General features: G+C 49.1%; 1 protein-coding gene across 84 annotated transcripts in view, besides 5 other annotated features; it reads right to left on the bottom strand.

Annotated features, from left to right (window-relative positions):
- Positions 1-8,366, bottom strand: part of PPP6R3 (protein phosphatase 6 regulatory subunit 3) — a 154,583-nt gene extending 146,217 nt beyond the window's left edge. For 83 of the 84 annotated variants that reach the window (NR_147971.2, NR_147966.2, NR_147967.2 and 80 more), the window contains exon 1: positions 8,291-8,366. The gene's annotated coding sequence lies outside the window, so the exon portion shown is untranslated. Of the gene's footprint in view, positions 1-7,417; positions 7,492-8,290 lie in introns of all 84 variants that reach the window. The other variant, NM_001352362.2, reaches the window with a different exon arrangement.
- Positions 7,906-8,015: a silencer, noted in NCBI's record as "silent region_3676". NCBI's record gives its function as "represses an Ori minimal core promoter by ATAC-STARR-seq in GM12878 lymphoblastoid cells {active_cell/tissue: GM12878}" and the evidence as "EXISTENCE:reporter gene assay evidence [ECO:0000049][PMID:35858748]".
- Positions 8,066-8,115: a silencer, noted in NCBI's record as "silent region_3675". NCBI's record gives its function as "represses an Ori minimal core promoter by ATAC-STARR-seq in GM12878 lymphoblastoid cells {active_cell/tissue: GM12878}" and the evidence as "EXISTENCE:reporter gene assay evidence [ECO:0000049][PMID:35858748]".
- Positions 8,126-8,495: a silencer, noted in NCBI's record as "silent region_3674". NCBI's record gives its function as "represses an Ori minimal core promoter by ATAC-STARR-seq in GM12878 lymphoblastoid cells {active_cell/tissue: GM12878}" and the evidence as "EXISTENCE:reporter gene assay evidence [ECO:0000049][PMID:35858748]".
- Positions 8,636-8,695: an enhancer, noted in NCBI's record as "active region_5140". NCBI's record gives its function as "activates an Ori minimal core promoter by ATAC-STARR-seq in GM12878 lymphoblastoid cells {active_cell/tissue: GM12878}" and the evidence as "EXISTENCE:reporter gene assay evidence [ECO:0000049][PMID:35858748]".
- Positions 8,806-8,955: a silencer, noted in NCBI's record as "silent region_3673". NCBI's record gives its function as "represses an Ori minimal core promoter by ATAC-STARR-seq in GM12878 lymphoblastoid cells {active_cell/tissue: GM12878}" and the evidence as "EXISTENCE:reporter gene assay evidence [ECO:0000049][PMID:35858748]".

The raw sequence follows: 15,659 nt of genomic DNA, 5'->3' as shown, positions 1-15,659 counted from the left end.
AATGCCTAAAATATTTACTAACTGGTCCTTTACAGAAAAAATCTGCAAACCCTCAATAGAGCTGTCTGGTTATAATGCAGAATTTGTAAAGAAATTAAGTGCAAAATCAAAAAGATCCAATCATCTGTTAACATATATTGATCCTTCAAGGCGTATGTGATTATCCACACTATGTTGAAAAAATGATTCTATATAAAATGTGAGACTCCACAGCAAAGTTACCCTACAACGTCCTGTGTGCCAGAAAAGAATAAACTTAAAAGATGTTTTAGAAAGCAAACTGCAAACCTCAAATTTATGATCTCTACTCCACCAGCAGAAATTATGTTATATATGTTCTAATGTTATATTCATATTCACAGTTATATACATTAAAACATATATAACATACTCCAAATTTGGAGGAAGAAAATTTGCATATCAACACTAACTCTGTAACCTCCCCAACACTGAAACCACCATCACCCTGACTTCCGCAGAGCAGCTGGTTAGACCTCGAGGCCTCTCTATGATCCTATAATACTCCATTTCTCTCCTTGAGATCATTCACTGCACCTTGGAGGTGTTTCTGTACTTTTGTTACAAAATACCATACCTATGATGGGAGGATCTCATAGCTGCTGAGTCCATCTAAGGGTGTAATAACAAGAAGTCCACAGTGAAAAGGGACAGTCATTCACAGAGTGTTGTTTACTCAGAAGGGGCAGGGTCTCACTTGCAGACAAAAGAGACAGATGAGACCTGTCCATTGTCCAAAGGCAATACAAACCCTGTGTATCTCTATGTCAACAAAAAAGAACTCCTCAACTACTATACAGTGACAAAAAACTGACACATACTACTACCAAAAATAAAATTCCAGACGTTAACCACTTATTCTGAATTCTAAGTAAAATCCAGCTGTGATGTCACTCTTGAAACAAATAGCACTTAAAACTGTGGTCTGGAACATCACAATCCTATGGAATCACCGGGGCTGAGATTTCTCTGCTCCTTCTGGTTCCATTCTTCTGCATGGCCTCCATTTTTCTGTAAGAATAAATGCGCTGGGCGTGGTGGCTCATGCCTGTAATTTCAACACTTTGGGAGGCCAAGACGGGCGGATCACTAGAGGTCAGGAGTTTGAGACCAGCCTGGCCAACATGGTGAAACTCCATCTCTACTAAAAATAAAAAATTAGCTGGGTGTGATGGCACACGCCTGTAGTCCCAGCTACTCGGGAGGCTGAGGCAGGAGAATCGCTTCAACCTGTAAGGCGGAGGTTGCAGTGAGCCGAGATCGCGCCACTACACTCCAGCCTGGGCGACAGACTGAGAGTCCATCTCAAAAAAATAAATAAATAGAAAATAAATGACGTCTAAGTGTTGTTGCAGCCCAAAACCATGATTCTCACGAATGGAAGCCTCAGTCAATTGTCAAGACTAGTCAGTGTTCCTCCCGCTACGCCCATCTGAGGACCAAAGCCCAACCAATCTGACCAGCCAACCATGGAGCAGGCAGTGTGAACTGCCCTGATTAGGGTCTCAGTGTGACATGTGTTCTCAGGCAAGCTCTTTTTTCTCAAAGTGTGTCTCTGCCACCAGAATTTTTGTTCAGATTTACATGTAGGTATAGGAAACCCAAGGCTCCAACTAACAGTCCCACACAGCTTTCTCCAAGTCTGTCTGACTCAACATCAGTCTGCAGCCGTTTTAGTCCTGCTCTCTAATGTTCCTAAAAACAATCTTTCATTCATCTTTTCTTGGGCCATCAGATTTCACGGTAGTCAATCTCTGGGGAATTCAAATCACTTCAAGTCACTATGTATTTCCACTGTAAGAAATTCTGGAACTAATAATCCCGTGGTTTTCCCCAGAGTTACTGTGAAGTACAAAATCAGAGCCTCCTTATATCTGTAAAAAGATGTTCAGAACCTATCGAACTTTAATTGCATAAGTTCAGTCAACTGTATAGTCTTCACTAATGCATCTAAAACAGGTCAACTCTAGCCAGCCGTAAGTGACAATTAGTAAATAGCCTCTACTCAGGGTAAAGCCAGCTCTTTGCCCAGTCTGTGACATGACAATGTCCTAGCTAGGGCCGGGTGCAGCGGCTCACGCCTGTAATCCCAGCACTTTGGGAGGCCAAGGCGGGCGGCTCACTAAGAGATCGAGACCATCCTGGCTAACACGGTGAAACCCCGTCTCTACTAAAAATACAAAAAATGGCCAGGCGCGGTGGCTCACGCCTGTAATCCCAGCACTTTGGGAGGCCAAGGCGGGCGGATCACAAGGTCAGGAGATGGAGACCATCCTGGCTAACACGGAGAAACCCCATCTCTATAAAAATACAAAAAAAATTAGCCGGGCGTGGTGGCAGGCACCTGTAGTCCCAGCTACTCGGGAGGCTGAGGCAGGAGAATGGTGTGAACCTGGGAGGCGGAGCTTGCAGTGAGCCGAGATAGCGCCACTGCACTCCAGCCCGGGCGACAGTGTGAGACTCCGTCTCAAAATAAATAAATAAATACAAAAAATTAGCCGGGCATGGTGGCCGGCCCCTGTAGTCCCAGCTACTGGGGAGGCTGAGGCAGGAGAATGGCGTGAACCCGGGAGGCAGAGCTGGCAGTGAGCCGAGACCACGCCACTGCACTCCAGCCTGGGTGACAGAGCGAGACTCCGTCTCAACAAAAAAAAAAAAAAAAAAAAGAAAATGTCCTAGCTAGGCATAGAGATAAGATACCTTTCCACATACTGTCAAATGCCCTTTTACTTGCTTCTTTACCACGTAGCCAACCTACCTGGTATCCAAATGTCAGTCTGTAATCTTTCAATACCTGAAATAAACTGAGTATTGATCTAACTAGCAACTATCTCCCTCCTCATAAAACTAAAGGGGGTGAGAAGTAGGAAAGGGGGCTTCCATGACAAATAAATCTAAGCCAAAGTCAAAAGGCCAAAACAAAATCTCCAGTCAACCTAGATCCATAATGCAGCAGGAGAAACACCCCCTCCCACTTGAAGTAGCATCTATTTCAAGAATGCCGGAAACATTTTGCAAAAACCTACAGCAAGCTTCGGACGGGTCTGGAACCAGAGAGTCAGTGTCTGAGGTTTGGTCAAAGGATAACTGTTGTGTAGGGAGCTATAAACAGCTATCTGTCATTACAAAACGGCTTCAGTATGGGAAGAATGGCACTGCTTTTTAAGACTCCTCAAACTAAGGAGGCAAGTCGAAGTAATCATTTCTTATAAATGAGTAACAAAGTGTAACTATCTTATTCTTTTGCAAAACTTCTGGCAATCTCAACCACCCAAAGTTTAAACAAATCAACCAACTGACCAGCAAACAGAAGCTCTTTCCTCCCAGGCCCCATTGACACCATGTACAATTCTTAACAGCTTTGTCGTCTCTTGTTTGCCTCTTCCTCTAGACTGCAGGTCCTTAAGGGCCTGTTCATCAGTGAATCCCTAATACAGTTCCTAGCAGAGTAAGGACTCAATTAATGTATTTGCTGATGAAATAAATGGATATTAGAAGTAGATGGTGGTCACTGGTAGTTCTCAACATAGGCACAGGCCGAATTTCAGGATGAAGAATAAGAAAATGCCTCCATGACCTTTTGTAACTTCAGATATTAACATTTAGCTGCTAAAAATTTATAGTTTTCCTAATATTCTTCCATTCCATAAACTAGATAATCTAAATTTTAATATGAGCAAAAAAGATCTACCCTTCTCTCTACCACTGCATCTCATCTCCCCAGGAGAAAAGAACACTTCTCTGCTGGGATCAGAGTCTAGGGCACAGAAGAGTCCAACTTACCAGTGGGCAGGATCACTGTGTTAAAGGCTGAGCATACTGTATGCCTATCTGTGCCCTCAATGGGCAGAACTGGTAAACTGATCCAGGGCTAATTCTCTGGGAATAGGTCTTTATTAAAACAAAAACAAAAACAAAAAACAGGCATGGTGGCTCACGCCTGTAATCCCAGCACTTTGGGAGGCCGAGGCGGGCGGATCACTTGAGGTCAGGAGATCGGGACCAGCCTGGCCCACATGGTGAAACCCCATCTCTACTAAAAATACAAAAATGAGCCAGGTGTGGTGGCACGCACCTGTAATCCTAGCTACTCAGGAGGCTAAGGCAGGAGAATCACTTGAACCCAGGAGGCGGAGGTTGCAGTGAGCCAAGATCATGCCACTGCACTCCAGCCTGGGTGACATAGTGAGACTGTCTCCGAAAAAAAAAAAAAAAAGTTGAAGCTGGCATCTAAAACCAGACCTGACCACTGACTGACAAAAGGAGGGCAAAAGATACTAACTCAAAAATTACAGTAGTGTAAGATTATTCAGCACAGAAGCAAACTCTAAATATCTAAGAATTTTGCTTAGTTTCAGCACAGTATGGTAATGTATTTTCATGAGGTTAAGAAAAAAAAGTCCTAAGATATTTTATAAAATCAATTAACAAATGCTTCTAAAGTTCAGTCTTCAGGCATCTGAAAAATGGTTAAGTATACCATCTAAATAATCCCCACTACTAAATAATCTCCAAGGCAGGATCTAGGTACTGCAAAGACCAAGTTCACAGATCACCGAAAGGAACCCTTAACTCACAAACAGTCCCTAAACCTGTGGTGTAAAACAGTGGTTCCAAAATTCAGCTGCATTTCAGTATTGTCTGAGAAGCTTCTAAAAAATAGATTCTCGTGGCCGGGCATGGTAGCTCACACCTGTAATCCCAGCACTTTGGGAGGCCGAGGCGGGTAGATCACGAGGTCAGGAGTTCAAGACCACCCTGGCCAAGATGTGAAACTCCATCTCTACTAAAAATACAAAAAACAGCCGGGCATGGTGGCGGGTGCCTGTAATCCCCGCCACTAGGGAGGCTGAGGCAGAGAACTGCTTGAACCCAGGAGGCAGAGGTTGCAGTGAGCCGAGATGGCACCACCACACTCCAGCCTGGGCGACAGAGCTAGACTCATCTCAAAAAAAATTAATAAGATTCTCAATCCCACCATTTCCAGAGGTGGAGTCCAACATCCATGGTCTTAAAAAATTTCTAATTATTCTAATGCAGGCTTATTCTAATGTAGGCCAGTCTCACATCTATCTAAGTGCAGGATTTCTCAACCTCAGCAGTGTTGCTATTTGGGACTGGATACTTTTGCTGGCGGGCAGGGAGGAGGCTATGCTGGACACTGTAGGATGTTTAGCAGTATCCTTGGCCTCTACCCTCCAGAAGCACACTGCCCACTCCCAGAGGTGTAACAAGCAAAAATATGTCCAGACACTGCCAAATGTTTCCTGGGGGGTGAGGGGGGAACCACCCCCAACTGAGAACTCTTGAACTAGAGTAAATCAAAAGACAATCATTTGAAGTTAAGAAAGGAAAGAAATATGAAAGCTGTTTAAAGCCAAGAGGCCAGATCTTTTTTTCAGTACATTAGAAAAAGTAGCAGCCAATACTGGGGTGCAGACCATAACTTCTAAGGACCAAGTCAATGCTGAGTTTTAGTTGAGCAGATAGAAGAGCTTTATTTTCACTATCATTTACTCTTATTTAGTAAAATACTGTAAAATTTTAGACCAAAACACACACACACACAAACACACACAGAGGCTGCCTCTCAAATACTGAAAATATAGAACTAGACAATGGAAGTTGTCATAGAAATAAAATACCGATCGTGACACTTGTTTTAAAGAGATGTTTATTTGTAACAAGCACATAATCTACCAAATAGGTGCAAAGCCCTATCTTTTTTTTTTTTTTTTTTTTTTCTGAGACTGAGTCTCGCTCTGTCTCCTAGGCTGGACTTGGCTCACTGCAACCTCCGCCTCCCAGGTTTAAGCGATTCTCCTGCCTCAGCCTCCCAAATAACTGGGATTACAGTCACACGCCACCATGACCGACTAATTTTTGTATTTTTAATAGAGACAAGGTTTCACATGTTGGCCTGGTCTCGAACTCCTGACCTTAAGTGATCCGCCAGCCTCGGCCTCCCAAAGTGCTGGGATTACAGGCGTGAGCCACTGCGCCCGGCCAAAGCTTTATCTTAAAAAGCTAGGCAACCTCATCCTGTCAATGTTACTTCTATTCATTTTCTGCTCAGCTATGGTCTGATTCTCAAATTCTCAATTAGTTCATTGAAACTAACAACTTTTTGCTTGTTGACTTTGCTTTGCTATACTTTACACAAAGGCTAGAGTTCTAAACCGAAAACAATCTTCTTCCTGTCCTTAAGTTCCACCAGCAAGATACTCATCTCTACTTAAGACTGAGTCCATCAAAACACACATCTCCAATACAGCAAACCAAGTCCCAAGTAAACACAACAATACCAGGGGAAGGTGCACGCAAGGTTTCGAGCACCATGGAGGAGAGTATCGGGCAAGCGGTAAAGGATTGTGAGTTTATTTCTGACTGAGTGCAGGCATTTTGTTCAATGTTCTAGACTCCCTGACCAGACATGCTGAAGTGGAGAATACCTTCCAAAGTATCCCTCCAGGACAAAAGCTATTTCCCAAACTATCTTTGCTGAAGAATACTGCAATCCACGGCACCCTTACAGTTTTCAGTAACAAGGAGGACTTACACTAAGAAACCCTAGTTACTGATTCGGGTGGCAGTCACCCAGAAACTAGTATCCAAAAGCACATGAGGAACAAAGCCCGACTTAAGCTTGTGATGGGCTTTTCTGTATTTAACCATCTCTTTAAACATTATGAGGCGCTACTACTCATTAATTACTCCGGTAAATGTTCCTAATTTAAGGAATGGTCAAAAACCCTGTCCTGAAAAAATTAAAATAACTTATAGTTTTACTTTTTCAGCCCAACTGAGTCTTACACAGAGCTTTCTAAAGGCAGTCACCAAGAGTCGGGACTCAAATGCTCATCTGACTTCCCAATAGTACCTAAACATTTAAAAATCAAATTTAAATTAAACAATAATAGCCATTAACTAGCCTAACCACTAATCAGCCACTGAGGTGACTGTATGTGCCAGGCACAGCTCTAGCTGTTTTACATGTATTAGGGCAATTATCCTGACAAACTTATGGCTGGGACACTTATTATTATTCCCATACTACAGAGAAAAAAAAAGAGAAGCTGGGTAACTTGCCCAAGGTCACAGAGCTAAAAAGTGGTCACTGACTCCACTCCACAGTGAGGAAAACCCAACCACCACCATAACTGGGTCTCATACACTTGCTACTTGAGGCACAGTTCGGTGGTTGGAAACCTGGAGTCCCTGTCCCCCTTGAAGCCTATCTGCAACATGACCTTGAGGACAAAATCAAAGTAAACGTCCCACGAATAAAGGACACCACCCCGTCAACAAGTGCTGCGAGGATGAAAGGGAACGCCTGTCAAGCACCCCCTCCCATAAAAGCAAAACAGACCCAAAGCCCCACAGAGAAAACGTGAAGTACCAGGAAAATGACATTAAGTCACGCGGTTGAAACGTCAGGGCACGGAGGTACATCCAAAGACCCATCCCGTTCACCTATAATTAAAAAGTCTAAATTGTGATCACAGCCAGCAGGACCTCAACAGGAAACACCTCCAAGTAAACAGTGAATGGGCTTCTTTAAGAGGGAGGGACTTCAAGCCACAAGAAGGACCACCCACCCCCCCCACCCCCGGCTCAAATACACCAGGGAGGCATTCGAGACAGTTTACATACAAGCCACCTCACAGGAGTTAAAAAGCCACTGGGAAGGGTACTGGGAGCCTCGGAACTGGCTGGTGTGGATCCCGATGACTCTGCGGCGAATTAACAGAAACCCACAAAACTTGTTTCCCGAAGAGCAGAGTCCAACAATGGTCTTCGCGACTCTTGACGGCGAGTTGCTGCCTCAACTTGACGCGCTCCCCGAGGCCCCCGGGAGGCCCAGCGGGAGCGGAGACCGGGCGCGGGCCGGGCGGGGGGCGAGACTGCGGGCCGCGGCCGGCGGGCGGGAAGGCTGGAGCCAGAGCCGGGTCAGGGGCGCGCCTCGCCCGCCCGCCGCGCCAGGCCGCGAACGTCAACGAGGCACAAAGTCGCCGCCCCGACCGCGTCCCGCTCCCGGCGCCCGTCCTGGCGGGGCCCCCGGCTAACAGGAGCGGACGGGGAGCGGCCGGGAAGGACTCGGCGCCGCGCCTCCCGGGCCCGCGGAGCGACGAATTCCGGGGGGGGAGGGGAGAGGGGCCGGGACGTTCCCTCCCTGAGCCGCTGAGGCCAGGTGGAGGGGCCCCGCGCCTGCCCGCGCGCCTCGCACACCCCGCGCCGCGGCCTGCTCCGGCGCCTCCCCTACCCCCATTACCTGGAGGTGCCCACGACCCGCCGCTAGTTGCGCTCAGGCGGGAAACGCGCTCACCGACACCATCAGCGAAGCGCCCAAAATGGCGGACGTATCAAGCAGGCCTTGAGTTCCCCCCCGCCCGCCCTCTGGCCGCCTCTCAGCCAATCGCGGCCCTGCCCCCGCCCCCAGCTCCAGGCTCATTGGCCCCTCTCTCCCGCCCCCTACTACCTATTGGATCGCCTAGCGGCTCCTTTGACTACATTCCGATTGGCCCGCAAGCCTCGTCAGTCAAGCGCGAGGGGCGCATTCTTTTCCCATGGACTTGACGGATCCGGAACCTCTAGGACCCCGGAGCCTGAGAAACAAATCAGAAACGGGGAGAAACCTGGCTGGGACCCCCTACGCCGTAGCAACAGCAGGTCCTCCGCTTGACGGACGCTTCGGACCACCAATCCGAGTGGCCAATGCTTTTTAAAACTAAATTGAGCCAAGCCCATCATGGCCGTGGAGCCGGAGCCGTGAGGGATCCAATAGGGTGGCGAGCTGGCCGGGCGGGGCGGGGGCGGCGGGGGACACCGGTGGTGACGTGAGCCACAATATGCGCCGGCTGCAAAGGTTAGGCCGGGCTAGGGAATCAGCTTAAGTGGAGGAGCGTTCGTTTAGTATGTGAGAGGTAACGGGATCGATGCCTGCATTCTCCACAGGGGAATTTTTATCAGAATGATTTCCCATTGCGATCTCTTTACCTGAAAGAGGTGGCTGTCCTCGTAGCGGGGTCAAGGTGAGGGATCGCGGAATATCCCTACCTGTGACGCACCGCCAAGAGATAAGTGCCCTTGTCCTGGGAGAAGGACTTAGACGAGAACTTTTGGGGTTTGGTTTTGTTTGAGACGGAGTTTCCCTGTTGTCCCCCAGGCTGGAGTGCAGTGGTGCGACCTCAGCTCATTGCAACCTCCGCCTCCCAGGTTCAAGCAGTTCTGTCTCAGCCTCCCGTGTAGCTGGGATTACAAGTGCACGCCACCATGCCCGGCTAATTTTTGTATTTTTAGAAGAGACGGGTGTTTCACCATGTTGGCCAGGCTGGTCTCGAACTCCTGACCTCAGGTGATCCGCCCACCTCAGCCTCCCAAAGTGCAGGGGTTATAGGGGTGAGCCACCGCGCCTGGCCTGGGGTCTTTTTTGAGACAAGGTCTTGCTCTGTTGTCCAGGCTGGAGTGCAGTGGGGTGATCATGACTCACTGCAGCCTCCACCTCCTGGGCTCAAGCAGTCCCCCCACCTCAGCCTCCCGAGTAGCTGGGACCATAGGCACGCACCACTGGGCCCCGCTAATTTAATTTTTTTGTAGAGACAGGGTTTCCCTGTGCACACGAGCTTCTAAATGCTCCCCCGGGCTTCCCGTTCCCCGCCATATCTGTGCCTCCCAGGTAGGACCGAGGTCCCGGACATCAGGACCCCCGCCCCAAGAGCCAGCCCAGGACACCGAGACAGCCCACGGTTAGACCCCATGCTAATAACCTGCCTTATTCCAAAATGGATTTGAGGCGCCTCTCAGAGTCCCATGAAAATCCACAGGAGGTCACGGCGCGGTCACGCCTGTAATCCCAGCACTTTGGGAGGCGGAGGCGGGTGGATCACGAGGTCAGGAGATCGAGACCATCCTGGCTAACACGGTGAAACCCCGTCTCTACTAAAAATACAAAAAGAAAAAAAAAATAGCCGGGCGCAGTGGCGGGCGCCTGTAGTCCCAGCTACTCAGGAGGCTGAGGCAGGAGAATGGCGTGAACCCGGAAGGCGGAGCTTGCAGTGAGCCGAGATTGCACCACTGAACTCTAGACTCGACGACAGAGCGAAACTCTGTCTCAAAAAATAAATAAATAAATAAAAACAAAAAAGACTGGTCTCATAAGATTATGATATTGTAGTTGTACTGGACTTTTTTTTTTTTTTTTTTTGAGATGGAGTCTTGCTCTGTCGCCCAGGCTGGAGTACAATGGGGCGATCTCAGCTCACTGCAACCTCTGCCTCCTGGGTTCAAGCAATTCTCCCTGCCTCAGCCTCCCCAGTAGCTGTAATTACAGGTGCATGCCACCATGTCCCACTAATTTTTGTATTTTTAGTAGAGATGGGGGTTTCACCATGTTGACCAGGCTGGTCTTGAACTCCTGACCTCAGGTGATCCACCCACCTTAGCCTCCCAAAGTGCTGGGATTACAGGCGTAAGCCACCGCGCCCAGCTGTACTGGATCTTTTCTATGTTTAGATACACAAATATTTACCATTGTGTTACAGCTGCTTTCAGTATTCAGCACAGTAACATGCTGTATGGATGTGTAGTCTAGGAGCGATAGGCTATCCCATATAGCCCAGGTGTGTAGTAGGCTAGACCATCTGGGTTTGTGCTAAGTATACCTGTGATGTTTGCAAAGGACAAAATTGCCTAACGATGCATTTCTCAGAACACGTCTCTGTTGTTAACTGTACTAAGCCATTTTATATATGGGACTTGAGAATCCTTGGGGGTCCCAGAAGCAATCTCCCACGGATACAGAGGGACAACTGTATCTACCAGCCCGTGTACGCGCCACGAAAAGTACTGTGCTTCTGGGGAGGCTGCAGACAGGGCAGACCTTTCTCACATTGATCCTGCTACTCAGAGAGGCATGGAGGAACATAGTCAAGCCGGAAGCCAGCCTGGGAGGTGTGCTCTGTGTGGGGGTTAGGGAGGGGATTCACAGGCTGATCACCTGGGCAGGGCGGGAGCGGCCATGCCAGGGAAAGAGGCCGAGGCAGCAAGGTGGAAGGAGCACACCCCGTGGAAGGCAGGGTGGGGCTGATCTCAGGTCTGGGGCAACAGCTCGAGAAGCAGGTGCAGAAGGGACCATGGAGGCTTTGGAAGCCAGGCGGAGGAACCTGGGTTTATGCTCAGACCATGGGAGCCAAGGAAAGCTTCCGGGCAGAAGAAGGGCTGGCCATACTCTAGAGAAGATGGCTGGAAGCGAGAGCAGGGAGCACCAGGTGTAGCACAGGGCCAGAGGGGCAGCTTGGAGCTGGACTAAGGAGCCCAGGAAAGGTTTCAGAGAGTCCTGGGACTGGCTGGTGCCTGAGAGGGAGGCTGGGCCATGGGCAGGAGGGGGCAGCCAGGGCTGGGCTCCCGTCCGTCCTTCCGTGCTGGGGAGCCCAGGGAGGACCCAACACCCCCACCGACCCTTGCATCCCTATACTCACTCATCATCAAAGGATTTGCCAGTATCTGCACCAGGCTCCTCCATCCCTGACTCTGAGGTGGGTCACAGGGCCATATACATTATAATGAAATCATATAGTACCTTGCCCAACGTAAGTGGGCCCCTAAGGTCTCCACTTATGGTTTGCTTCTAACCTAACCAGAAGGTTGAAGTCAGGGAGGACTTCCTGGAGGAGGAGGTATCTGAGCTCAGCCTGGGTCCTGAGAGCCATGGGGAGCTACTGACAGGCTTTAAGCAGAGGAATGACTTAGAAGCTTTGCATTCTACACAGATTGACGTCTCTACCCTAAAACTTCTAGATTTCAGGGATCACCACCTTCTGTCTTTCCTCCTGATCCTTTTGTAGTTTAATGTTTCATATTAATATTAAACTTTTCAATCCATCTAGACTTTAAAAAAAACCCCATAAATATATGTACCTGCTATGTACCCGCAAAAATTAATAACAAATTATTAAAAAAACACACATGTAACTGAATAGTTTCAAACATATTCAAAAGCAGAGAGAAGAGCAGGCTGCATGCTCAAGCACCCATCACCTGGCTATCATGACTTAAATTTTGGGAACAGACTCAGAGCTGCCAAATTTTAATTTTTTTTTTTTTTTTTTTGAGATGGAGTCTTGCTTTGTTGCCCAGGCTGGAGTGCATTGGCACAATCTTGGCTCACTGCAACCTCTGCCTCCCAGGTTCCAGCGACTCTCCTTCCTCTGCCTTCTGAGTAGCTGGGATTACAGGCACACACCACCACGCCCAGCTAATTTTGTGTTTTAAGTAGAGACAGGGTTTCACCACGTTGGCCAGGCTGGTCTTGAACTCCTGACCTCCAGTGATCCGCTTGCCTTGGCCTCCCAAAGTGCTAGGATTACAGGAATGAGCCACCACACCCGGCCCCCAATTTTAATTCTGTAATGATTTTTTTTAAGTATTTACTATTATCATAATTTCATAAAAGAAAGGACATGCTAACACACACATACACTAACACAGGAAAAACTAGCTCTGAATAAAGAAGAGCTTAAATTGAAGAAGTTCAGGCCGGGTGTGTGGCTCACACCTGTAATTCCTGCACTTTGGGAGGCCAAGGTGGGCGGATCACCTGAGGTCTGGAGTTTGAGGCCAACATGGAGAAACCCCATCTCTACTAAAAATACAAATATTAGCTGGGCGTGGTGGCGGGCGCCTGTAATCCCAGCTACTCGGGAGGCTGAGGCAGGACAATCACTTGAACCTGGGGGCGGAGGTTGCAGTGAGCCGAGATTCTGCCACTGTACTCCAGCCTGGGTGGAAGAGCGGAACTCTGTCTGAAAAAAAAAAAAAAAACAAGAAGTTCAACTTGAAGGGAAAAATGCCGTATTGTCTTTCCCTTTGTTATGTCACCAGGGCACAGTCCATCCCAGGCTGGCGCTGATCCACGGGCTGGAGAGGGGCTGCCCCAGAAGAGGACATGCCAGGAAGGGCTTGGCTGGTGTTCAGGAGCCCAGGCCAGGTCAGGTCAAGAGGTGTTGAGGCTGGACGGGAGAGGCCAGCTAGGGGCTCATGTAGGATATGAGGGGTCGGCCCATTTCAACGTGGAAACTGAGCTCTTCTGCTTCTCTTTCTTCTTCACTGCATTAAGATTCAATACCGCTTGGGAAGCAGGTATTTCCCTTCCTATAAAGGATGGTTGGGAGCCTGAGTGTTGGGAGAAAGTGTAGCCGCTGAGTTACTAACAACTAGGGCTGCCGTCAAGCCTATGGGGAAAGAGAGAAGAGGACATTTGGAAGGAGAGAGATCAAGCTGTGGCACCCTGGGAGAGGACCACAGAAAAGAGGCCAGTGAGGGGGTTCCCCGGTGGCATCTGAAGGTGTGGCCCAACCAGGAGGTCCAGAGGCTGCCAGCCGAGTGGCCCAGGAGAGGGAACCTCACAGGGGCTGAGTGGGACCCAAGCCCTAGCCACCGTCCTAACCACCCACATTTCTCGGGAACAAGACCTCCCACAGTGGCCTCCCCGGCAGTGGAAATAGCCAAACTGGCAACATGGACTTTCTTCAACTGCCCGGGCGATGCTGCCTCAGTGCCCCAGGGCAGGCAGGAAGCTCCCACACCCATTCTGGAATGAGGGGTTGGAGGAAGGCTGAGCTGAGCAAAGGACCCATCTCTGCTCTGGTTGGTGGGGAGGGAGCCCATTATACAAGAGACCCCTCAGGGCTCAGTGAGGGGTGACAGAGACTTGGGGAGTAGTGGCTGTCACTGCAGAGGTGAGAGGGTTTGGAGAGAAGGTACATGCCTTTTTGGCCACATTGAGTAGCACCTGGTAGCCAGTTAGTAACGTGTATTGGATAAACAAAAGATTAAACGGATGCAAAAAAAAATGTTGGCTTTGCTTCTTTTTACCCAAACCTCAGTTCCCTCAAGTAGATTCTGGGAACACCCCCTACCTGGCTGGACTGTTGTGAAGTTTAAATAAGCCAGGTTAACTTCACCTCCTCCTTTAAGACACAGCTCAGACACTGCCTCCTCCAAGAAGCCCCCTCTGGCTTCCTGTGTGAATATGACGGCCCTCTGGGCTCTAGGGTATCTTAGAACAATGCTTCCTTATGGCTTTGGAACCCCGCTGTCTCCTGGATTGGGAGCAAATGCAGGGGAGGAGCCACACCTGACTAATCTCTGGGTCTCCCAGCACATAAGTGGCATAAGGGCAGGGCTGTGCCCGCTTCAGGCACTTACTGAAGGATGTACTTGGCAGAGGGTAGGCAGCCGGCGGATGAGCCCCTCACTCTCCCCAGCTGACTGCGTGGGCGGGAAAGGCGGGTTCAGGAGACCCAGCCTCCCTGGGCTGTCACCACCTCTGCACATCCAGCCCCATTGATCAAGGGTTCAATTTTTGGGGTCCTGTTGGGAGGCCAGGAGACTCTCTCCAGGCACTTCTTCCAGGTCTTTGTGTTAGGGTGTGTGTGTGTGTGTGTGTGTGTGTGTGTGTGTTGTTTGTTTTATTTTATTTATTTATTTATTTATTTATTTATTTATTTATTTATTTATTTTGAGACGCAGTCTCGCTCTGTTGCCCAGGCTGGAGGGTGGTGGCATGATCTCGGCTCACTGCAAGCTCCGCCTCCCGGGTTCACGCCATTCTCCTGCCTCAGTCTTCCTGAGTAGCCGGATTACAGGCGCACGCACCATGCCTGGCTAATTATTTTGTTTTTTTAGTAGAGACAGGGTTTCGCCACGTTGCCCAGGCTGGTCTTGAATCCCTGGCCTCAAGCGATCCGCCCGCCTCAGCCTCCCAAAGTGCTGGGATTACAGGCGTGAGCCACCGTGCCCGCCCAGCCTAGGGGTACATGAAACTTTTTTTTTTTTTTTTTTGAGACAGAGTTTCACTCTGTCCTCAGGCTGGAGTGCAGTGGCGTGATCTCGGCGTACTGCAATCTCCGCCTCCCGGTTCAAGCGATTCTCCTGCCTCAGCCTCCCGAGTAGCTGGGATTGCAGGCACGCGCCACCACACCCAGCTAATTTTTGTATTTTTAGTAGAGACGGGCTTTCACCATGTGGGACAGGATGGTCTCGATCTCCTGACCTCGTGATCCGCCCGCCTCAGCCTCCGAAAGTGCTGGGATTACAGGCCTGAGCCACCGTGCCCAGCCATGATGTTTTGATACAGGCATATAACGTATAATAATCACATCAGGGTAAATGATGTAACCATCACATCAAGCATTTATCCTTTGTGTTACAAAAAAAAATCTAATTATACTTTCCTACTTATTCTTTTTTTTTTTTTTTGTTGAGACGGAGTCTCCCTCAGTCGCCCAGGCTGGAGTGCAGTGGCATGATCTCAGTTCACTGCAAGCTCTGCCTCCTAGCTCTGCCTCCTGGGTTCATGCCATTCTCCTGTCTCAGCCTCGCGAGTAGCTGGGACTACAGGCGCCTGCCACCGTGCCCGGCTAATTTTTTTTTTTGTATTTTTGGTAGAGACAGGGTTTCACCGTGTTAGCCAGGATGGTCTCGATCTCCTGACCTCATAATCCGCCCGTCTCGGCCTCCCAAAGTGCTGGGATTACAGGCATGAGCCACCGCCCCCAGCCTATTTATTCTTAAATGTACAATAAATTATTGTTGACTCCAGTCACCCTGCTGTGCTACCAAATACGGATCTTCTTCATTCT

The sequence above is a fragment of the Homo sapiens genome, chromosome 11, assembly GCF_000001405.40.
Source record: "Homo sapiens chromosome 11, GRCh38.p14 Primary Assembly".
NCBI classification, from domain to species: domain Eukaryota; kingdom Metazoa; phylum Chordata; class Mammalia; order Primates; family Hominidae; genus Homo; species Homo sapiens.
This window is presented reverse-complemented; position numbering and strand designations above follow the sequence as displayed.